This window comes from Homo sapiens, chromosome 21 (assembly GCF_000001405.40).
Source record: "Homo sapiens chromosome 21, GRCh38.p14 Primary Assembly".
Taxonomy (NCBI): domain Eukaryota; kingdom Metazoa; phylum Chordata; class Mammalia; order Primates; family Hominidae; genus Homo; species Homo sapiens.
Window position 1 is genome coordinate 13102089 of NC_000021.9, and position 25851 is coordinate 13127939.

Here is a 25851-nt window from a genome sequence, read left to right on the forward strand (position 1 = left end):
GAAACAATGAAACACCCAATAATCTTCAAAGAGAGGAACAACGTTGGAGGCATCACAACTCCCTGATTTCAAAACACATTATATAGACTTAAAAAAATTTGGTTTGGTTATAAAAAGTGAACTAGACCAAATAAAGAGAATGTAGTATAAATATAAACTCTCACACATATAATCACAGGAAGAGTTATTTGCACGTCCATATTTTTTTTTTTTTTAGATGGAGACTCGCTCTTGTCACCCAGGCTGGAGTGCAGTGGCACAATCTAGGCTCACTGCAACCTCTGCCTCCCAGGTTCATGCCATTCTCCTTCCTCAGCCTCCCAAGTATATGGGACTGTAGGTGCCCGCCACCACACTCGGCTAATTTTTTGGTATTTTTAGTGGAGATGGGGTTTCACCGTGTTAGCCAGGATGGTCTCGATCTCCTAACTTTATGATCCACCCACCTTGGCCTCCCAAAGTGCTGTGATTACAGGCATGAGCCACCACGCCCGGCTGCACATCCATAATTTTTACAGCATTGTTATTGAAAGGCAATAGGTGAAAGCAATGCAAAATTTTCTCCCCAGATTACTGGATAAATATAATTTGAAACATAAAAATAATGGAATATTACTCAGTGTTTAAAAACAGGAAATACAGGCCAGGCACACTGGCTCACACCTGTAATCTCAGCACATTGGGAGGCCGAGGTGGGTGAATCACCTGAGTTTGGGAGTTCGAGACCAGCCTCACCAACATGGAAAAACCCCATCTCTACTTACAAAAATTAGCCGGGCATGGTGGTGCATGCCTGTAATCCCAGCCTCCTCTCAGGAGGCTGAGGAAGGAGAATGGTTTGAACTTGGGAGGTGGAGATTGTGGTGTGCTGAGATCGCTGCACTGAACTCCAGCCTGGGTAACAAGGGCGAAACTCCGCCTAAAAAAAAGGAAATATTCTAACAAACAACCATAACAAACTTTCATGAAATTATGCAGAATAACATATGTCAGCCACAAAAAATATGGTATGAATCCACTTACATGAGATATTTAAAGCAGTTAGACTCAAAAACAGGAAAACAGAATTGTTTGTAAAGGGCCAGAAAATGGGAGAATTGAGTAGTTGTTTAATGTGTATTCAGTTTTAGTTTTGTAAGACAAAAACATTCTACAGATATATTGTATAATAATGTCAATATAGTTAATATAAACTACATATTTTTAAATTAAGATTCTAAATTTTATGTTCTTGATAATTAAAAGTAAACAGTAATAATACCTTAAAAAAGGGACAAAATTGACAGTTTTTAAAATTACCTTCAAATCAAAAAAGTGTTTCTCCCACACAAAAATAGATTCCCAAATAGATATTAGAAGTAGGAGAATTTTTATGACTACTCAGATAAAACGACCATTGATCACTCACAAACATACAAGTCATAAACAATACAGAAATAATATGTGTATACACAAACACAGAAATTATTATATTGGGAATAGAGATATGACTGATTCATATGTAACTTTGGCTCCACGCTGTCTTAAAGTGTACAGAATTGAATATTGTCATTCACAATTGTCATAAAAATAAAAACTAAAAACACAATTAACTGATGTCACTTGGCATACTCTAAAATATGAAACAAAAAAGAAATAAAATTGGCTGGGCGTGGTGGCTCATGCCTGTAATCCCAGCACTTTGGGAGGCTGAGGCGGGCGGATCATGAGGTCAGGAGATTGAGACCATCCTGACTAACACGGTGAAACCCCATCTCTACTAAAAAATACAAAAAATTAGCTGGGCATGGTGGTGGGCGCCTGTAGCCCCAGCTGCTAGGGAGGCTGAGGCAGGAGAATGGCGTGAACCTGGGAGGTGGAGCTTGCAGTGAGCCGAGATCATGCCACTGCACTCCAGTCTGGGCGACAGAGCAAGACTGTGTCTCAAAAAAAAATAAAATTAAATGAAGTAAAATGAAATAAAATAAAATTGCAAAACAAAATGAAAACATGGAATGTTAAACTTACTGAACACCATTAAGTAGATTACTACATTTGGAAAAGAAATCTTAGAAGACGAATGTAGGGAAAAAGTAGTTAGAGGGGTTATTTGAAGATAAAAGAGGATGAGAACTTTCCAAATTTTTATGTGATAAAAGAAAAACTAATACCAATCAATACTGTTTGCTTTGAAATTATTTGGAATTATTCTGGAATTAAAAATAAGGAAACAATAAAGAACTTACAAAATAAACAAAAAGTGAAGGTATTTATCACCACAGGCATGGTCCCACAAGAAATGCTACATGGTGGCCAGGCACCAGTGGCTCATGTCTGTAATCCCAGAGTCTTGTGAGGCCAAGGCAGGCAGATTAGTTGAGGCTAAGAGTTCAAGATGAGCCTGAGTAACATAGTGAGATGCTGTTTATTTTTTTATTGCCGAAAAGAGTCCATATGTTGAAAAATATAATGATGCTGAACAATCTTAAAAAACTACATGAAACTATAAACTTTCTGTTAAATGTAAATATATAAACACATATACAATTGTTTACTACCATAATCATTAAGCAAAATCTCTTAAAATTCTGCTATAGAATTTCAACAAAAAATCTGCATAAATCTGTTAATAGATACACAATATAAAATAATATTTGTAATAATGAAAAACTACAGGATGTAAGCCTGGGCACAATGGCTCATGCCTGTAATCCCAGCACTTTGGGAGGACGAGATGGGTGGATCACAAAGTCAGGAGTTCAAGACCAGCTTGGCTAAGATGGTGAAACCCCATCTCTACTAAAAATATGAAAAATTAGCCGGTCATGGGGGTGGGTGCCTGTCGTCTCAGCTACTTGAGAGGCTGAGGCAGAGCATTGCTTGAACCTGGGAGGCGGAGGTTGCAGTGAGCCGAGATCACACCACTGCTCTCCAGCCTGGGTGACAGAGCGAGACTCCATCTCAAAAACAAAACAAAACAAAACAAAACAAACAAACAAAAAACCCACTACGGGATGTAAAGAGGTATAGTTTTTGTATTCAACTGAAGTTATGACGTACTAATATTGTTATAACTTTAAAATGTTTTACATAATCTCCAATTACCTAGATAATTACAAGTTTATAGAAAGTATGCAATACAAAATGAGAAAGGAAACAAAGCATAACACTACAAACTCAAAAAAGCAAAAATTAAGACAGTAAAATAGGAAATTATGGAAAACATCTCTACAAGAAACACAAAAAATAATAACAATCAAAATGGTAATAGTAACTTCATTTCTCTATGGAATCATTTTAAACATAAATTGATTAAACTAATAATAAGAAATTAAATGGCCCAATGGAATAAGAACAAACAAAATCACACAATATGCAACAAATCACACAATATTCTTGTTCAAACATAGTGTACTCTGTTAGGACACATAACAAGCCTTATTAAGTTTAAGAAGACTAATCAGGTGTGGTGGCTCATGCCTGTAGCCCCAGCACTTTGGGAGGCCAGGACTGGAAGATTGCTTGAGACCAGGATTTCAAGAGACTCACTTTAACTTTGAGTCAAATAGGTTGAAAGAAACAGAATGAAAAAGCATATTCCATGCAAACAGTATCCACAATTAAGTGAGGTGGTCATAAATTATATTCGACAAAATACGCTGTAAATCAAAAACTAGCATGAGGTAAAGATTGTTACTATATAATGGTAACATTGGTCATTTACCAGGAATCTATAACTATTACATCTATTTAAAAGATCAGGGTTCCAAAATATATAAAGCTAATATTGACAGAAGTGAAGCAAAAAATACATAGCAACATAATAATCACAGACATTAAGACCCCACTTTAATAATGAGTGAAAGTTTAGATAAAACATCAATAAGAGAACAAAACCTGGATGACATTATAAATTGTATTAATTCATTTTGTATTGCAATAAGTACCTAAGACTGTGTAATTTATAAAGAAAAAAGATTTATTTTCTTCATAGTTATGCAAAATGTACAATAAGTGTGGTGCCAGCATCTGCATCTGGTGAGGGTCTAAGTAAGCTTACAATCATGGTGAAGGCAAAGAGAAACCAGACATATTGCATGGGGAGAGAGGGAGCAAGCGTGAAAGGAAAGTGCCAGGTTCTTTAAACACGCAGCTCTCATGTGAATTAACAGAGTGAGAACTTATTGATCACGAAGGGGATGGCGTGAAGTCATTTACAAGAGATTTGCTCCCATGACCCAAACACATCACACAAGGATCCACATCCTACATTGGGAATCCCATTTCAACATGAGATTTGAAGGGTACAAACATCCAAATCATATCATAGGCCAACTACACATTAAAAATATGTACAGGACTCTCCAGTTAAAAGGAAGAGATTACACAATATTCTTGTTCGAACTTGGTGCATTCTGTTAGGACACATAACAAGTCTTATTAAGTTTAAGAAGCCTGGCCAGGTGTGGTGGCGCAGGCCTGTAGCCCCCAGCACTTTGGGAGGAAAGACCCCTTCAGACCAGGATTTCAAAACCAGCCTGGGCAATATAGTGAGAACCCGCATTTCTACCAAAAATCAAAAAACTAGCCAGGCGTGAAAGCACACGTATGTAGTCCCAACTACTTGGGATGCTGATGTGGGAGGATTATTTGAGCCTCGGAGGTTGAGGCTGCAGTGAGCCAAGATTGTACCACTGCACTCCAGCCTGAGTGGCACAGTGAGAATCTGTCTCTCAATAGCAACAAAAATAAATAAATAAATTTAAGATGACCAAAATTATACAGTTATGTTTTCTGACTAAAATAAAATGAAACTAGACATCAAAATCAAGAGATAAACTGGCAAATTCAAAAATATATGGAAATAAAACACACTCTTTAATATATTCTTGCTCAAGGTCCAGATAATTTAATCTAAATGTGAAAACAACTCACGGTGGTGAAGAAATTCCAATGGTACATTGTTGACCAGAAATATTGTTTAAAACTTTTTAAATTGATTATGAGCTAAAACTAGCCAAACACCCATGAGAAAGAACAAAGAGGCATTAAATTTCCTGATTTCAAAATATATTAAAAAGCTATAATAAACAAAAGCAATGTGGTACTAACAGAGACAAATGAACAGATGATAGAACAAAATAGCCCAGAAATGAACCCTTCTTTATATAATCAAATAATCTTCCACAAAGCTGCCATGACTACACAATAGAGAAAAGAAAATATCTTCAACAAATGATGCTGAAAACTGAGTATCTACACTGAAAAAAATAAAGTTGGATTATTTTCTTGCACATTTTAAATAAAATAATGAAACTAAAAAACATATAACTAATACAACTCTTAGAAGAAAAAAATAGGGAAAATACAGAACACTGGTTTTGGCACTTTTTTGTAGATATGACATCATACTTATGAAAAACATAAAAACCCCCAAAATTTAACTGTGCTAAACTTCAAATTTTCTGCACACCAAAGAAAATATTTAGTAGAATGACAATGCCACCGAAGAAATGGGGGAAAATATTTGCAAATTACATGTGATGAGTTAATATTCAGAATTATAAACAACTAAAACTGAAAAACTAACAATGAATAAATTGATTTAGAAATGCACAAAGAATTGAACTGATGTTTAATCAAAAATATATATGTAAGTAGAAAAAAGCACTTAAAATAATGCAAAAAAAGTACCAATTGTAGAGAAATACAAAACAAAATTACAATCCAAAACAAAACCACCTCATACCCATTAGAATGGCCACGATAAATTTTTTAAATGCCGAATCTGTTGAGGATGTAAAGAAATTAAAACTCATGTGAATTGAGTGGGGAAAAAGGATGCAACCATCATATTATGAATGTTTCTTAAAATTTAAATTATATAATTCCACTTATAAACCTAGATTCAAATATAAATCATATTATTTGACTGGAATATAAAATACATTTTTATATATTAATATATATATAAATGGAATCCAAGAATTCCACTTATAAATCTATATTCAAACATAAATATAAATGTATACTCCAAATATAAATCTATATCCAAACAAAGAACGTGGAAGATATATTTGAATATATATTTCAAATATTGGTATAATAAATATACCAATATTTATATATTTAATATATATTAATATAATATATATTAAATATATTATACCAATATTTATATATTTTATATATAAATATAATATATATTAAATAAATAAATATATTATATAAATAAATATATATTTTATATATATTAAAAATTAAATATTGGTATAATATATTATACCAATATATTATATATAAATATATACACATATATTTATATATATACAATATATAAATATATTATACCAATATTTACAAAAGCCAAAAGGCAGAAGTAACCCAGATATCCCTTGACTGATAAACAAATTAAAAATGTGACATATACATACAGTGGAATATTATTCAGCCTTAAAATAGTAAATCTGTCACATTCTTACATAAACATTGAGATATTATGTCAACTGAAATAAGATAGTAATAAAGTGACAGATACTATATGATTCCATGATATGAGTCATCATAAGTAGTCAAATAGAAACAGAAAGGAGAATGGTATTACTCAAGGTCTAAAGAGAGGGTAAAATGGGCAGTTGTTACTTAATGGGTATTGTCTTAATTTTAGAAGACGTAAAAGTTCTAGAGGTCTTTACATAACAATGTAAATACTCTTAACAACTAAAATGTACACCTTTTTTGAGGTAGGTTCTCACTCTGTCCTGCAGGCTGGAATGAAGTCATATAATCATAGCTCACTGCAGCCTCAACCTCCCATGCACAAGTGATTCTCCTGCCACGGCCTCACAAGGAGCTAGGACCACAGGTGGACAACCCAACACCTGGCTAATTTTAAATTTTTGTGGGGAAGGGCTCTCTATATGCTGCCCAGGCTGGTCTCAAGTTCCTCGGCTTAAGCAATACTTCTGCGTCAGTTTCCCAAAGTACGGGCATTATAGGCATGAGCCTCCACCACACTCAGCACTGAAATATAGACTTAAAAAACTTTAAGATGGTAAATTTTATGTCATGTGTTTTCACATTTTTTTTTGAAAACAACTAAAAGTGATATAGGTCTTTCTATAAATCATAAAATACATAAATATATAAACATAAATCACCTTCAAATCACTAAAGTGTTTCTCTCACACAAAGAAAATATATATATTTATCATTAAACACCTAGTGAATATACCACTGTTTCTATGACTACTCACCTTCACATAATAAGACAACTGTTGAAAATCAGCCAAGAAGGCTGGGCATGGTGGCTCACTCCTGTCATGCCAGAACTTTGGGAGGCCGAGGCAGGCGGATCACCTGAGGTCAGGAGGTAGAGATCAGCCTGGCCAATATGGTGAAACCCCATCTCTACTAAAAACACAAAAAAATTAGCTGGGCATGGTGGCAGGCACCTATAATCCCAGCTACTCGGGAGGCCGAGGCAGGAGAATTGCTTGAACCTGAGAGGCGGAGGTTGCAGTGAGCAAAGATTGTGCCACTGCACTCCAGCTGGGCCTCTACTGTGGCCTGCAGACCTTGGCCTCTACTGTGGCCGCTGAAGGAGTTCAGTGACTCAGTTTCAGCTGTCTTTGCCACAGTTCACAACAATTCCTGCCAACACAGGAACCCACACAGTGATGTGGAAAAAAACTTCCAAATACTCAGTGGTAGCCACACTTACCACATCCCGACATAAGGTCCACCATATGCACACCCAATTGCAGAAATCTGTCCTAGTTTCTGCACTATAAATAAAAGTCCTGAAGGAAATCCAGCCCGCCCAGACATTAGATGGGAATCACAACAACCAAAGCCCCTGGTAAAAAGCCACTTGAAGGTTGAATCCACTGCATACCCAGCAGCCTTGTGACACAGTTATAAACTCTTCCTTACTACAAGCTCATAGGGCTTCCCATTACCCTGGGAACAAAAGAAGATCTGTACCTCCTGAAAACAGTTTATAAAAAATTAAAGAGCTGTTTGCTTCTTCAAATTTATAGACACCGGGGTAAGGCTACATGGTTCCATTGTCAATGTTTCTATTTTAACATAGCAGTGAAAGTACTTTGCAGAAGAATTAGTCAAGAAAATGACCCTAAAAATGACATTCAAATTGAGGAAAAAAATTAAAAGGTTGCTGTTTGTAGGTGACATGATCTTATAAATAGAAAACCATAAACAATACATCAAAAAATAACAAATGCCCTCAGAAAATTAGCAATATATAACATTAACATATAATTATCAGTTATGATTCCATATGCTAACAACAAACCATCTGATAAAAAAGGAAGAAAACAATCTCATTTCCAATAGAATTAAAATAATAAATTTCTGAAAAATTAACAAAGAAGGCAAAAGATCTTTTCACTGAAACATATATTGATGAAAGAAGTGGAAGAAGTCACAAATAAATGCAAAAAGATTTCAAGTTTATGAACTGGAAGAATAAATATTATAAAGCACCATATGATTCAAAGTGATCTACAGTTTCAATGAACTCTCTATTAAAAATCCAGTGACATTTTTCACAGTAATGGAAATTACAATTCTAAAATTTACATGAAACTACGATAGGCTTTGAAAAACCAAAGCAATCTAGAGGAAAAGGGACAAAGCAACCAAACTTCATACTTTATGATTTCAAACTATATTTTAAGATTGTAGTAAAAAAACAGATGATACATGCAAAATATGGACACAATAAACCAATGGCACAGAATAGAGCCCAGAAATAAACCCAGACATATAAAGTTTACTAATCTTTGATAAGTGCACCAAAAATATACAATGAACAAAGTATAGTCTTTTTAATATTTGCTTCTGAAAAAACTGGATACCTCCAGGCAAAAGAATAAAATTAGCTTATTTTTCTTACACCATGCTAAAAGTTAAATTACAGACTTAAATATGAATCCTTAAAAAACCTGAAAAAAAATACATGGAAAACCCTCATGATATGGTCTTAACAATAATTTGTTAGACATAATACCAAAAGTACAGCAACAAAAGCAAATATAAACAAGCTGGACTGCATCAAACTAAAAACCTTCTGCACAGAAAAGAGAACAATAAAATAAAAAAATTTGTAGAATGGGAAAAAATATTTGCAAACCATACATCTGATAAAAGATTGATATACAAAATATATAAGAAATGCAAGCAGATTGAAAGCAAAAACAACAGTAACCCAGTTCAAAATAGGCAAAAAACTAAACAGTTATTTGTCCAATGAAGACATACAAATGGCCAACACATAAGCCATAAAGTACTCAATATCACCAAATATCAGGCAATTGCAAATCAAAACTATGATGAGTATCATTTCAAACATGTTAGAATGGATAATGTAAAAAGAAGAAACATAACAAGTGTTGACAACACTTTGAAGAAAAAAAATTCTGTACATTCTTGGAGAGTTATAAATTGATGGAGTCATTACAAAAACCAATAGAGGTTATCTGAAATACAGAACTACTACACAATCTAGCAATAGTAGTATTGTGCATATAATACTGTGTATATAACAAAAGGAAATGAAATAAGTAACTTGAAGACATATCTGTACCACCATATTTGTTGCAGCATTATTCACAATTGCCAAGATATAAAAAACCTAAATGTTAGTGGATGCTGAATAAAGAAAAGCTGGTATAAATAAACAATAGAATATTATTTAGCCTGAAAAATAACTAAATCTTGCCATTTCAACAACATGGGTAAAACTGGAAGACATTATGCCAAGGGAAATAAGCCAGACATAGAAAGAGAAATACTGTTCATTCTCACTTATATGGGGAATCTAAGAAAGCTGAACTCACAGAAGCAGAGACTACAATGGAAGTTGTCAGGGACTAGATATGGGAGAAAATGAAAAGATATTGAAAAGACAAATTTTCTGTTATGAGTAAGTTTTTCAAATGTAATGTATAGCTTCATGATACAGTTAACACTAAATTTTTGTATGCTTAAAATTTGGTGTCAGCAGACCTTAGATGTTTTCATTACAAAAAAGGTACCTATGTGAGGAAAGGTGATAAAAATGCTCAGAAACATAATTGTGCTAATCATTTTACAATATACACATGCAGTAAGTCATTACATTGTACACAATAAATATATATACAATTTTTATTTATAAAAAAATCCACAATACACACCTACATATATATACACACATATAAATTACAGTTCTGGTAAACTTTATCCTGAACAAGATAAAATTAAAAAATAGTAATTTAAAAAACAAGGAAAGAAGTGGGAGCTTAACATATGCTCAGTAATGTTCTAAGTTCCCTGACATAGTGAATTGTAGAAATGTAGGAAATATCTACGTTATATTACAGTTGAGAAATTAAGACAGAATTGAAATTACCAACCTCAGTTAGTACTAAAAGAATAAAAATTTCAATTCAAATAACATTAGATATTCTTAAAGAGATACTTAATATTCTGATTAAATTACCGAGTATGAATTTCTGTAGAAACACATTTGAAACCTCCATAAAATAAGAAACTATAAAGCAGAAAACATACAACATATGTGGGTTGTATTTCTGGGATTTCTGAACCAAATCTCAATATCACTACTTTTACATATTTCAGACACAATGCAGAAAGAGAACTTAAAAATGGGTAAACACAGGGTTTCTAAAAAATATGCAGCTATTTGTATATCCCTAAAAGCAATAAAAGTAGTCAGATTGTGCACTGTTTTATAAGCCATAAAGAGAACTTTGGCTCTCACTGCAAATCTGAAGAAAAATTATTGAAGAAAATGTAGAGTCACTAGAGAGCATGGGACAGAGGATGCCCCTATGTGAGAACAAGTGAAAAAACCCAGGCTTCTCAGAAAGGATTTCCACTGGAGCACAGCTTCCCAAATCACATGTAAAAGTCCGGGTTCCTCTCGGCCTTTGGATGCCTCATCTATGTCATCCTCTTCTTCATTCGCTTTCACCTACCTGGGTGCTTCATACTCCATGGCTTTTTCCTTTGCTCCAGACAGGTGACCAGGTCTGGCTTAGAGAAGACAATACCTGTTTTATTTTAAAAAGCATCATGAGCATGACTTTTCCTGGGATTCTCCATTTACCAACCTAATACTGTGCTAAGTAGAGAAAAGAGGACATAATAGAAGATTCTAGAAAATTAATCCCAAAATACTTTTTACTGACAGAACCTTTAGCGTATTCAGAAAGTATATTAAATATGAGTGTCCTCTGTTTCACTCCCCAGTATTACTGAATCAAAAATTGGTGGTGGCAATTGAATTTTAAGGTGTGGACAACATTATTTTATGTCACTAAGTTTCTGAAATTACCACTTATCTAGAGTGAATAACATAGATAAACTCAGGAAAGGGGAAAATTCAGGTCAAAATGAAACAACCTGAAGAATTCATTTTCCACACCAAAAAATCCGCAAGATTGTCTTAAAAACAGGGATCTGAAATTTACTCATGCAAAGCAGAAATTACCAAAACACATCCTACAAAGGAAGAAAATGAAACCTTCAGGGTAAATTAGAAATTCTATATTGAAGTTATCCTCAACCAAGAAGACAGAGTTTCTGTAGTTCTGTAACATCACATCCATACACAAATTCTGCTGAGCAGCATCCAGGTATTGACACTCCTCCAGACAGAATTCTATGGCTACATCCCTGAATGTCAACAGTCCCTGAAAACACACACACACCCACTTCAAGTGGCCATAGGCAGAATTCTTAAATTGACTCAAGATAAAATGAGTGAAGAGAACTGATTCTGACTGATACGACCAAAATTGTCCTATAAAATAATTCCCAACAAAGAAATATTCTCTGTTGCATTCTCTATCTCTGAGAAAAGAGAGCATAAGATTCACAATACCAGTGTAGTGTATTGATGATATTTTTTGAATGATAAAGTACAAAATTAACAACAGGAACATAGACATGTACATTTTTGAGTGCTCCATTTAATCATACAGTATAAGTTCTGCATATTTCTCAGATTAAAAAGTCAGGCTTAGTTATAAAGTACCTCTCAAATTTTAATGTGTACAACAATAAACTGGAGATCTTTTTATGCAGATTTTGTTTCAAGAAACCTGAGGTAAAACCTGAGTTTCTGAATTTCTAACAAGCTCACAAGTGACACCAATCTTTCTGGCCCAAGATAAATATTTTGTCAAACATTCATTAAGTGACAGAGCCTGGGTTTTTATGACCAGTAAACAAAGATGAGAGACTTCACTTTTTAAAGAAAGACATATGCAAAGACAATCTAAGAAGAAAAGAGAACTTCCAGATTACATGGGATGCTTTATTCACATCAGCTGGTAAATGTCCCCAAGGTACTCAATAATAAAGAGAAAAATAACTCTACAGTGGAAAAAAATTCTCAGAGAACTATTTAACTCAACGAATCAAATTAACACCAATTATAACAGAACAAATTTTCATCATGCGCTGATGCTCACAGAACGACACAATATCACTGCTGTGATACTGGCCCCCGCCAAAGAAGTAAATTATAATTCAAATCTAATCATAAAGAAACAAGTTTTATGCAAAATGCAAACTACAGTAATCGCTCATGTTGTGTAATCTCTATTAAAGTATTTACGCAGACTTTCTTCAGCATTCTAGAAAGCGAGTATCTTCTAATTATTTTTTTCAAAACTTTCTGAATTATTCTGGGTAACAAATACCATCCTGTTCAAATGTGCATATTTTAATCCTGTTCCACATGGAGTTGATGGAGCACACAGACAGAACTTCAACATTACATATTCCCCTTTTTCATGAATATCTAAGAACCCCACCTCTTCCCCAGTAGGAATCTTGGGTATCCATACCTTTCCATGTGCACCAGCACCAGCAACAAAGGGTATTTTTCTTTTTTTTTTTTTCTTTGGAGATGGAGTCTCCCTCTGTTGCCCAGGCTGGAGTGCAGTGGCACGATGTAGGCTCACTGCAACCTCCAGAACCTCCACCTCCTGGGTTCAAGTGATTCTCTTGCCTCAGCCTCCCAAGTAGCTGGGATTACAGGCACCCGCCACCATGCCCAGCTATTTTTTGTATTTTTAGTAGTGACAGGGTTTCACCATGTTGGCCAGGCTGGTCTTGAACTCCTGACCTCAGGTCATCCACCCACATCGGCCTCTCAAAGTGCTGGGATAATAGGCATGAGCCACCGCGCCCAGCCAAAGGGAATATTTTTAATATTACGAGTCATAATTAATGATGAGAATTCCGCATGGCAGAGAAGAAGCCAAGATGAAGAGAATGTCGAGAAGACTCTAGTATATAGAAAATAATATATTTCAGAGTTGCTTGACTATCATGAGAAGAAAAAATGTTTAAACAAACTTATAGGGAGAAACAGCATAAAGTCAAGAAGTACAGGTTTGTAAGTTCTAAACATATGGCATTCCAGGAGGCAGAGTGAACACTGCTCCTAATCTGAGACACAGTCACCTGAGAAAAAGCCATTTTTCTCTTCATCATCCTTCTCTAGCATTTCTTCTCAGGTGATATTCTCTGGACAAGTCACACCTGCATCTTTGGAATATGCCTTTAAAGGAATCAGCACAATCTCTTCACCTGCTACCACCACAAACACAGGTAGAAAGATCCAGGCATGCAGAACATGTCCACCCATTTATGTTCTTTATAACAGGTGAGATTCAAGGACAGTGAGCTGCTCCACAAAGATCAAAATTTATCTTTCTCTTTTCCTGCCACAGACGCCACAATTTCTGCTACAGCAATGGGGATATGGACCACATTAACTTGTACCTACCAAATCCAACCATAGTAGACCCTGTGACCTCCCTTTGGAATAAAGTTTGAACTCAACTCTCATGAATGTATTTTGAATTCCTCGTGTTTGACCCTGGCCTCAACCTGGAGTCACATGAGGCACTTAATTATATCAACAAGGATGCTTCCACCCAGAACAATATACAGAGCCTGCGGGAAGGGCACAAGTGAAAAGATTTCTGCAACCTGGCCATGGAATCTTAATTAGAAGCCTGGGCCAAGAACCACTTAGCTAAGCATTGCCTCTCAAACTTCAATGTGCATATAAATCATTTGGTAACCCTGGCCCCACACTATGTAATGTGATTCTGCAGGTTTTAAAAGCATCCATGAAAGTGCATTTTAAACACATCTCCTGTCAATGCTGATGTAGCTTCCACAGACCCATCATTAGTAGCATTTAGCTAGAAAAAGCAGGCATAGAACAGACTCTCACACTCATCATTCATCACAACACAAATACTTCTGATCAAATAAACAATCAATCTCTATCCTGAAAAAACACATTCTTTGCTAGCTCTTTAAAGTTTACAGAGACAGGAGAAGGCAACAATGTCTGAGTAAGTCTGCACTGAAAAACAACATGTACACATATACTTATGCAATGCTTATTAAGCAGGTACTATGTGCTCAGGAGTGTGTTACAGAGCACTGTGCTGGGAACATCACATTATGTGATTTAATCTTCAAAACAACTTGAGAGTTGGGTACTAAGTGTTCAATAATACTCAGAATTTAGATGAAGGGACCAGCATTGTTTTCTTCCCTGTTTATCTCTTAATGATTATTTTCGGGGGGGGACAGAGTTTCACTCATGTTGCCCAGGCTGGAAGTGCAATGGCACGATCTCAGCTCACCACAACCTCCGCTTCCTGGGTTCAAACCATTCTCCTGCCTCAGCCTCCCGAGTAGTTGGGATTACAGGCATGCACCACGACACTGAGCTAAGTTTGTATTTTTAGTAGAGATGGGGTTTCTCCATATTGGTCAGGCTGGTCTTGAACTCCCGATCTCAAGTGATCCACGCACCTCGACCTCCCAAATTGCTAGTATTACAGGCATGAGCCACAGAGCCCGGCCTCTCACTGATTTTTTTAAAAAAATGTATGGCATAAGAGATAAATATAGACAGATGGGAGGGATACAGAAAGGAAAGGGTTAAGTGTAGTTTAGAGGGATTTTTTAGTGTGTTTCTATTTACTTTCTTGTGACTTGTGGAGTAACTACTGGGATGGAATGTCTCTACAAGCACTGGTTTTAATTAGAAAGAAAGAAGTTAAGACCTCAAAATATATAGTTTATTGCTCTAATTTATCTGCTTTTGGGTTTCAGAATATTGTGAGCATAAGCTCTGGAGAGGCAGCAGGAGCCACCTCCCAAATCTCTGGTCTCCTCTAATGAGTTCTGTGAGGAGAGACTCCAGGGTGGGACCAGACCTGAATGAGTCTCAGAAAATGGTGAATCTGGACAGAGCTGGGGTGGAGAAACTGTCCTATGTTGAATTATGATCTCTATACTGCTGGAGTACTTCTTGTTCTGTCTTTCCTAAGCCTGTCCAAGAGAAACTTAAGAGTTTGTATAATTTTAATCCATTTAGCCACTACTCTATTTTATAACGTATAATAATAAGCAATTTAACCAAAATTTTTAGGGCTTTCTAGGATAATTTTATTAGAAAATATGTATTCTTAGCAAGGTAAAAGCAATAGAAATACAAATAACTCTCCTGTTTGAGAATAGCTCTTCTGGTGGTGACATCAGAAGTCACAACAACATCAGAGCCATTGCCCAAGTCCCCTTAACACTCCCACTTTATTGTATTGACTATATGATGCTTAATTAAACTATTTATCCAGTTGTTCTAGACTGAGAGTTTTTGAATGACAGGGACCATGACTGCTTCATCTATTTTTCTAAAGGCCATATGAAATGGAGGCAATTTGTTTATCAGTCTGAGTCTCCAGAACTCCTGAATTTTTTGCCAAGGAAACTGGAGAAACTCTCGTCCAGGTACCAACCAAGGAGATTATTTCTACAAAAGAAGGAACAGACACTGAATGACTCATTTCCCTTCCTCTCACATGGAAGCAGAATTAGACACTCCTGCCAGCCTGACCCAAGTCTGTACAGGACATCCTGAAATGTCTTAAAGATTCCCGGGTGATTGTGAGAGGATTCCTAGTGACCATGGACTGATGACCGTATGTTGATCCAGGTAGGAAAGACTCAAGCTGATTATAAATAGAAAATGGAACTGCCCTGGTACAGCTCCAGAACCTGGATCTATGTGTGATATCACCTGTTCTGATTAGCTAGGTCTTAGGTAAGAGAAAGGACAAGAATACTCTACTCCAGTATCACATTTTACAAATAGGTAAACTTATGTCATTGCTCTGGGTATTTTGTGGCTTTGATCTCTCCCTGCTGACATGCATGTTTACACTTACAGATTGTGCAACCAGATTCTATTTACACCAGCAGCCTCTCACATAAACATAGCAGGTCACTGGAAAAGATCTGGAAAGCTCAAAGGGATACACTCTGAAAGGAGGGCTTTAAGATTTCTATGCTGACATCTCACAGATCAGAAAATGTCTCCTATGGGTTTTCTGTACATTCTCAATCCAAAATCTGGCTCTCTCCTGTGATTCCCAGGGAGAGCTCAGCTCTTATGTACAGATTACAGGTAAGATCAACCTGACTCTTCATTCTTTGGTGTTACAGCAAGGAGAGTAAAAAAAAAAAAAAGTTTCCATCATAAAGTCTGCTCTAGGACATGATATGTCAGCCTAAAAAGAAAAGGTTAAGGCAACACTCATTTAAGTAGAGAATTTATTTGGGCCAAGCCTGAGGATTGAAATCTGGGAGCATAGATTCAAGTTACCTTGAATGTACACTTTACTTAGCAGCAGTTACAAGTGGATTTACAAAGGCAAAAGAGAGGGACAGGGAGTGGACTGAAACAAAGTTGTTTGTCAGAAATTCTTCTCGATCTACAAAAATACATTGATGACTAATTGGCTATATATTTTTAAGCTGTGAGGTATTGCTTATAACATCTAGTGTGGCATTATTAGGTTAATTTATATCTACTTGTAGGGATAGCAAACAGTTTCAAGAGGCAAACATGTAGCTCAAAGGAGGCAGTAGAACATAATTATGTTCTCATTTTTATGTCTCTCCGAGCCTGATAAAACCAAAAGGACTTGCAATCCTCAGATCAAAGTTATTCTTTTTCCTCTAATCTCAAGACCGAGATTCAGAATTTGGTATTGTAGATTTAGGTCCTGGATGGATGGAGAAATGGCAGGTGTTAACTGCACATTTATGGGAATTTGGGGAGGAGGAGAAAGAGGAACTTTGAGATACTCACATTTACTCAATGCACACATGTCACCCTAATTGTTCTTCTGGGCCTAATAGTCTCCAACTCAGTTTCAGGTCTGAAGACACTATGGTCACTGAAAGAGGTGAAATGGCTGATTACTGTCCTGTGAATTTTGTCAACCACTTGTAGAAAGGCTTAACCTCTCTACGAGTGGTTGTAGAGGACTATAGATGTGAAACAGGCAGAGACACAAGTCTGCCTGCATACTCTGGGGGCAGTGTGCACTTTGAAGCACAACTGACTGAGTTGACTGGAAGCCTGAGGGGGAAAGCCTTCTCTAAAATGAAGCTTGGGGGGCAATTTATACATATATACAATGTCTGGTAATTGTGAACAGGGTTTGAGAAATATAATTAAAAGGAAAATTATCTCCAGTCCTAGAAAAACCCCACAATAACAGACCAGAAAGAAAAGTGTTTTATTGCACAACAAAACCAGAATGTGATGTGACAAGAATCACAGACAATCTGCTCAAGAGATTGCAAAGACAGAAAGGTCTCTATAATTAGTCCTCAAGTAGAAGACTTGACAGCACCATTTGTCATACACAGTTTATCCTGAATTCACCTGGTAATTGGGGAGGCCATCTGTGTATGTTAATTGGTTATATTGAAAGGAAAAATAAACTTCTGACATCTTCATGATACGAGATAGTTTTGCAACTTACAGCCAGGTGCCTGCTGAATGTAGGCTCTGGTTCTTTTACAGACACTGTGAAATAGGATACTATTCTTTTGGCTATTTACATTTCAAAGCAAAGGGTCCCTACTCCCTAGGCCACGGGCTGCAGTAATCCTGCTTGCCCTGTCCTGGTGGCCTGTGTCCCATCTCTTCCCCTACCATCTACCACTGAGGCACAGCTCACAGCACACAGCTGGCAGCCCACATTCCACATGGACTCCAACCACCACAGCTGCACTCCAGAGTCACATTATGGAGCAGGGTCCCTGAACTGCAGGAGGAGAACCTGCAGGACTCCTGGGTAGGATTGCACTTTTGCAATAATGGAAATGGGAGCAATGTTTCAGCTACGTTTCTATTTATAATGGTGACAAAAAAATACTGCTGGATTCCCAGCATGGGTCTGGATAGAGTGCCAAAGAGTTCTCATTGTGACAGCCCAACTCACTCAGAAACACCATGAGACACTTTTGGGTGTCCCTTCTGAAGACAGACACCGAAAGCATTGAAGAGAAAAACAGCTCTCAGTCTGAATAAAATTGTATTAAGAGGTTAAAGGTATCTGAAAGAAAAATTCAGATTACATATAATATTAGCCAAGTCGACCAGAAAATACTCCCCTGAGACAGTTTCTCTCTAAACACCCAAAATGCACAGCTGCTCTCAACACAAGAAACACAGTGTTATGAAGAAAGGGGGCATATTCTCAGCAGAATTTCTTAAGATTTTTCTTCCATCTCTGCTGCTCTCTCATCTGCTGGCCATTGGATTGAGGATCTACACTGGAACACATCAGGCAACCTTCGCCAGCACTTTTTGATAAAGAATTGGAATTTGACTCTGTTTACATAGTAGAACTATATCTGAGATTGCAACATATCTAACTGAAGACTATTATGATTCATGATTTTTGGGTAGTCACATCACTTGCATTGATTTGTTCTGTAAGAGTGGCATTCCAAATATAGTAAAACATAAGAATAGACTGTGAGGCAGGATGCGGTGGCTCACGCCTGTAATCCCAGCACTTTGAGAGGCTGAGGCAGGCGGATCACCTGGGTCGGGAGTTGAAGACCAGCCTGGCCAGCACGGTGAAACACCATCTCTACTAAAATACAAAAACTAGCCAGGGGTGGTGGCAGACACCTGTAATCCCAGCTACTTAGGGGTTGAGGAAAGAGAATCGCTTGAACCCAGGAGGCAGAGGTTGCAGTGAGCTGAGATCATGCCACTGCACTCCAGCCTGGGTGACAGAGCCAGACTCCATCTCAAAAACAACAAAAAAAGATAGAATGTAAAATTTTGCTAACCTACTACTCTATCTTTTTGTTTTGTTTTGTTTTTTGAGACAGAGTTTTGCTCTTGTTGCCCAGACTGGAGTGCAATGGTGCAATCTCAGCTCACTGCAGCCTCCACCTCCCAGGTTCAAGTGATTTTCCTGCTTCAGTCTCCCGAGCAGCTAGGATTACAGGCATGCACCACCATCCCCGGCTAATTGTGTATTTTTTTTAGTAGAGACGTGGTTTCTCCATGTTGGTCAGGGTAGTCTCAAACTTCTGACCTCAGGTGATCTGCCTGCCTCGGCCTCCCAAAGTGCCGTGATTATAGGCGTGAGCCACCACGCCCAGCTGACCTATTATTATATCTATGGGATGAATTAATAAGCATGTCAGATTAATATCTACTGTAACAATTAGATAGTAAATTTTCTTTGGATATTAGATATAAATATCTAAGTATAAATAATCTTAATATACTAGTAATGGCATACATTTTTAAAATTATCTGTAACCTTAACTCAGTTGTAATTATATTTCAAAAGAATAAATACTGATATTAAAATTACTATTTAAGGGATTTATTCATAGTAAATAGTGTGGCCTTATATTCACATGATTGTAGAAAATACTGTTTAATTTACATGGATGAATGTTGTCTACTGAAGACTACATAAAACTATGTTAATTCTTTTTTAAATTTTTTTATTTAATTTTTTAAATTTATTATTACACTTTAAGTTTTAGGGTACATGTGCAAAATGTGCAGGTTTGTTACATATGTATACATGTGCCATGTTGGTGTGCTGCACCCATTAACTCATCATTTAGCATTTGGTATATCTCCTAATGCTATCCCTCACCCATCCCCCCACACTGACCTCACATAGGATTCCAGAACACTGCTGGGTTCTGAGTGTTTGTCCCTCACATAGGATTCCAGAACTGTTCTGTAATCCTTTGTAAGGGATAAACATTCAGACCCTCGTAGCAGTGTTCCGGAATCCTATGTGAGGGACAAAAACTCAGAACCCAGCAGCAGTGTTCTGGAATTCTGTGTGAGCGACAAACATTCAGAACTTCGTAGCAGTGTTCTGGAATTCTATGTGAGGGACAAACACTCAAAACCCAGCAGCAGTGTTCTGGAATCCAATGTGAGGTACAAACACTCAGAACCCAGCAGCAGTGTTCTGGAATCCTATGTGAGGGAAAAACAGTCTGAACTCAGCAGCAGGTTTCCGGAATCCCATGAGAGGGACAAATACTCAAAACCCAGCAGCAGTGTTCTGGGATCCTATGTGAGGGACAAACACTCAGAAGCAGTGTTCTGGAACCTTATGTGAGGGACAAACACTCAGAACCCAGCAGCAGTGTTCTGGAATCCTATGTGATGGACAAACACCCAGAACCCATCCACTGTCTTCTGGAATCCTATCTGAGGGACAAACATTCAGACACTCGTAGAAGTGTTCTGGAATCCTATGTGAGGAACAAACACTCAGCAACCAGGAGCAGTGCTCTGAAATCCTTTGTAAGGGACAAACAAACAGAATCCAGTAGCAGGGTTCCAGAATCCTTTCTGAGGGAAAAACATTCAGACCCTCTTAGCAGTGTTCTGGAATCCTATGTGTGGGACATTCAGACCCTCATAGCAGTGTTCTGGAAACCAATGTGAGTGCCAAACACTCAGAACCCAGCAGCAGTGTTCTGGAATACTTGGTAAGGAACAAACATTCAGACAATCGTAGCATTGTTCTGGAATCCTAAGTGAGGGACAAACACTCAGAAATGAGCTACAGTGTTCTAGAATTCTATGTAAGGAACAAACCCTCAGTACCGAGCGGCAGTGTTCTGGAATCCTATGTGAGGGACAAACACTCAGAACAAAGCAGCAGTGTTCTGGAATCCTCTGTGAAAGACAAACACTCAGATCCCAGCAGCAGTGTTCTGATACCCTATGTGAGGGACAAACACTCAGAACCCAGCCACTGTGCTCTGAAATCCTATCTGAAGGACAAACATTCGGAGCCTCGTAGAATTGTTCTGGAATCCTATGTGAGGGACAAACACTCAGAAACTTATAGCAGTGTTCTGGGATCCTTTGTGATGGACAAACAAACAGAGCCCAGCAGCAGTGTTCTGGAATCCTATTTGACAGACAAACACTCAGAACTCAGAAGCAGTGTTCTGGAATCCTTTGTGAGGGACAAACATTCAGAACCTAGTAGCAGTGTTCTGGAATTGTATGTGAGGGACAAACACTCAGAACCCAGCAGCAGTGTTCTGGAATCCTATGTGAGTGACAAACACTAAGAAACCAGCAGCAGTGTTCTAGACTCCTTTGTGAGGGACAAACATTCAGACCATCGAAGCAGTGTTCTGGAATCCTGTGTGAGGGACAAACACTCAGATCCAGCAGCAGTGTTCTAAAATCCTTTGTGATGGACAAAAATTCAGACCGTCGTAGCCGTTTTCTGGAATCCAAAGTGAGGGACAAACACTCAGAACCCAGCAGCAGTGTTCTGGAATCCTATGTGAGGGACAAACATTCAGAACCCAGCAGCAGTGTTCTGGAATACTCTGTGAGGGAAAAACATTCAGACCCTCGTAGCAATGTTCTGGAATCCTATATGAGGGGCACACACTCAGAACCCCGCAACAGTGTTCTGGAGTCCTTTGTGAGGGAAAAACATTCAGACCCTCGAAGCAGTGTTCTGGAATCCTATGTGAGGGACAAACACTCAGAACCCAGCAGCAGTGTTCTGGAATCCTGTGTGAGTGTCAAACATTCAGAACCCAGCAGCATTGTTCTGGAATCCTATTTGAGCGACAAACATTCAGAACTTCGTACCTGTGTTCTGGAATGCTATGTGAGAGACAAACACAGAACCGAGCAGCAGTGTTCTGGAATCCTATGTGAGGGAGAAACACTCGGAACCCAGCAGCAGTGTTCTGGAATCCTATGTGAGGGTCAAACACTAAGAACCCAGCAGCAGTGTTCTGGAATCCTTTGTGAGGGACAAACATTCAGAACCTTGTAGTAGTGTTCTGGAATTTTATGTGAGGGAAAACACTCTGAACCCAACAGGAGTGTTTTGGAATCCCATGTGAGGGACAAACACACAGATCCCCGCAGCAGTGCTCTGGAATACTTTGTGAGGGACAAACATTGAGACTCTCAAAGCAGTTTTCTGGAATCCATTGTGAGGGACAAACAGTCAGAACCCACCGCAGTGTTATGAATCCTTTGTGACGGACAAACATTCAGACCATCGTAGCAGTGTTCTGGTATCCTGAGTGAGGGACAAACACTCAGAAACCAGCAGCAGTGCTCTGGATTCCTTTGTGAGGGGTAAACAAACAGAACCCAGCAGGAGAGTTCTGGAATCCTATGTGAGGGACAAACACTCAGAACCCAGCAGCAGTTTTCTGGAATCCTTTGTGAGGGACAAGCATTCAGAAACTCGTAGAAGTGTTCTGGAAACGTATGTGCGTGACAAACACTAAGAAACCAGCAGAAGTGCTCCCGAATCCTTTGACAGGGACAAACAAATAGAAACCAGCCACAGTGTTCTGGAAGCCTTTGTGGGGGAAAAACATTGAGACCCCCGTAGCAGTGTTCTGGAATCCTATATGAGGGACAAACACTCAGAACCCAGCAGCAGTGCTCTGGAATCCTTTGTGAGGGACAAACATTCAGACACTCAGCAGTGTTCTGGAATCCTATGTGAGGGGAAAACATTCAGATCGTCGTAGCATTGTTGTGGAATTCTATATATGGGACAAACACTCAGAACCCAGCAGCAGTGCTCTGGAATCCTATGTGAGGGAAAAACACCCAGAACCCAGCAGGATTGTTCTGGAATGCTATGTGTGGGACAAACACTCAGAACCCAGCAGCAGAGGTCTGGAATCCTATGTGAGCTACACTCAGAACACAGCAGCTGTGTTCTGGAATCCTTAGTGACGTACAAAGTTTCAGAACCTCACAGCAGTGTTCTGGAATCGTATGTGAGGGACACTCAGAACCCAGCAGCAGTGTTCTAGAATCCTTTGAGAGGGAAAAACATTCAGACCCTTGGAGCAGTGTTCTGGAATACTATGTGATGGACAAACACTCAGAACCCAGCAGCAATGTTCTGGAGTCCTTTGTGATGGACAAACATTCTGACCCTAGTAGCAGTGTTCTGCAATCCTATGTGGGGGACAAACACTCAGAACCCAGCAGCTGTGTTCTGGAATCCCATGTGAGGGATAAACTCTCAGAACCCAGCAGCAGTGTTCTGTAATCCTATATGAGTGAGAAACACTCAGAACCCTGCAGCAGTTTTGTAGATTCCACTGTGAGATACAAACATTCAGACCCTCGTAGAAGTGTTCTGGAATCCTATGTGAGGGAAAAACTCTCAGAAACCTGCAGCAGTGCACTGGAGTCCCTTGTGAGGGACAAACAAACACAACTGAGCAGCAGTGTTCTGGAATCCTTTGAGAGGCAAAAATATTCAGACCCTCGTAGCAGTGTTCTGGAATCCTATGTGAGGGACAAACACTCAGAACCCAGCAGCAGTATTCTGGAATCCTATGTGGGGGACAAACACAACCCAGCCGCAGAGTTCTAGAATCCTCTGTGAGCGACAAACATTCAGAAATTCATAGCAGTATTCTGAAATCCTATATGAGGGACAAACACTCAGAACCCAGCCACTGTGTTCTGGAATCCTATGTGTGGGACAATCATTCAGACCCTCGTAGCTGTGTTCTGTAATCCTATCTGAGGGACAAACATTCAGACCTTCGTATCAGTGTTCTGGAATCCTATGTGAGGGACAAACTCTCAGAACCCAGCAGCACTGTTCTGGAATCCTATGTGAGGGACAAACACTCAGTACCCAGCAGCAGTACTCTGGAATAATTTGTGAGGGACAAACATTCAGATCCTCGTAGCAGTGTTCTGGAATCTTATGTGAGGGACAAACACTCAGTACCCAGCAGCAGTACTCTGGAATAATTTGTGAGGGACAAACATTCAGATCCTCGTAGCAGTGTTCTGGAATCTTATGTGAGGGACAAACACTTAGAACCCAGCAGCACTGTTCTGGAATCCTATGTGAAGGACAAACACTCTTAACCCAGCAGGAGTGCTCTGGACTACTTTGTGAGGGACAAACATTCAGACAATCATAGCAGTGTTCTGGAATCGTATGTGAGGGACAAACACTCAGAACCCAGCAACAGTGTTTTGGAATCCTATGTGAGGGACAAACCCTCAAACCTAGCAGCAGTGTTCTGTAATCCAATGTGAGGGGCAAACAGAGAGAACCCAGCAGCAGTGCTCTGTAATACTTTGTGACGGACAACATTCAGATAATCGTAGCAGTGTTCTGCAATCCTATGTGAGAGACAAACCCAAAGAAACCAGCAGCAGTGTTCTGGAATCCTATGTGAGGGACAAACCCTCAGAACCTAGCGGCAGTGTTCTGGAATCCAATGAGAGGGACAAACACTCAGAACTCAGCAGCAGTGTTCTCTAATCCTTTGTGAGGGACAACATTCAGATCCTCGTAGCAGTGTTCTGGAATCCTATGTGAGAGACAAACACTAAGAAACTAGCAGCAGTGTTCTGGAATCCTATGTGTGGGACAAACACTCAGAACCCAGCAGCAGTGTTCTGGAATCCTTTGTGAGGGTCAAACACTCAGACTCTCAGAGCAGTGTTCTGGAATCCTATGTGAGGGACAAGCATTCAGACCCTCATAGCACCATTCTGGAATGCTCTGTGAGGAACAAATATTCAGACCCTCATAGCAGTGTTCTGGAATCATATGTGAGGTACAAAATCTCAGAACTCAGAAGCAGTATTCTTTAATTCTATGTGAGAGACAAACCCTCAGAACCCAGCAGCAGTACTCTGGAATAATTTGTGAGGGACAAACATTCAGACAATCACAGCAGTGTTCTGGAAACCAATGTGAGGACCAAACACTCAGAACCCAGCAGCAGTGTTCTGGAATATTTGGTAAGGGACGAACATTCAGACAATCTTAGCAGTGTTCTGGAATCCAAAGTGACGGAGAAACACTCAGAAACGAGCTGCAGTGTTCTAGAATTCTATGTGAGGGACAAACACTCAGAACCCAGCAGCAGTGTTCTGGAATCCTTAGTGAATGACAAACGCTCAGAACCCAGAAGTAGTGTTTTAGACTGGTTTGTGAGATACAAACATTCAGACCCTCAAAGCAGTGTTGTGGAATCCTATTTGAGGGACAAACACTCATCACACAGCCACTGTGTTCTGGAATCCTATCTAAAGGACAAATATTCGGAGCCTCTTAGAAGTGTTCTGGAATCCTATGTCAGGGACAAACATTCAGAAACCAGCAGCAGTGCTCTGGAATCCTTTGTGAGGGACAAACAAACAGAGCCCAGCAGCTGTGTTCTGGAATCCGATTTGATGGACAAACACTCAGAACCCAGCAGCAGTGTTCTGGAATCCTTTGTGAGGGACAAACATTAAGATCCTCAGAGAAGTGTTCTGGAATCCTATGTGAGAGACAAACACTCAGAACCCAGCAGCAGTGTTCTAGAATCCTATGTGAAGGACAAACACTCAGAGCCCAGCAGCAGTGTTCTGCAATCCTTTGTAAGGGTCAAACACTCAGACGCTCAGAACAGTGC

The 25851-nt window shown here is 38.6% G+C and overlaps 2 pseudogenes across 1 annotated transcript in view; both read left to right on the forward strand.

Annotated features, from left to right (window-relative positions):
* Positions 1–16163, forward strand: part of ANKRD30BP2 (ankyrin repeat domain 30B pseudogene 2) — an 80086-nt pseudogene extending 63923 nt beyond the window's left edge. The window contains exon 12 of the transcript NR_026916.1: positions 15750–16163. The product of NR_026916.1 is annotated as an ankyrin repeat domain 30B pseudogene 2 (transcript). The remainder of the gene's footprint in view (positions 1–15749) is intronic.
* Positions 18156–18719, forward strand: BNIP3P43 (BNIP3 pseudogene 43; annotated as a pseudogene).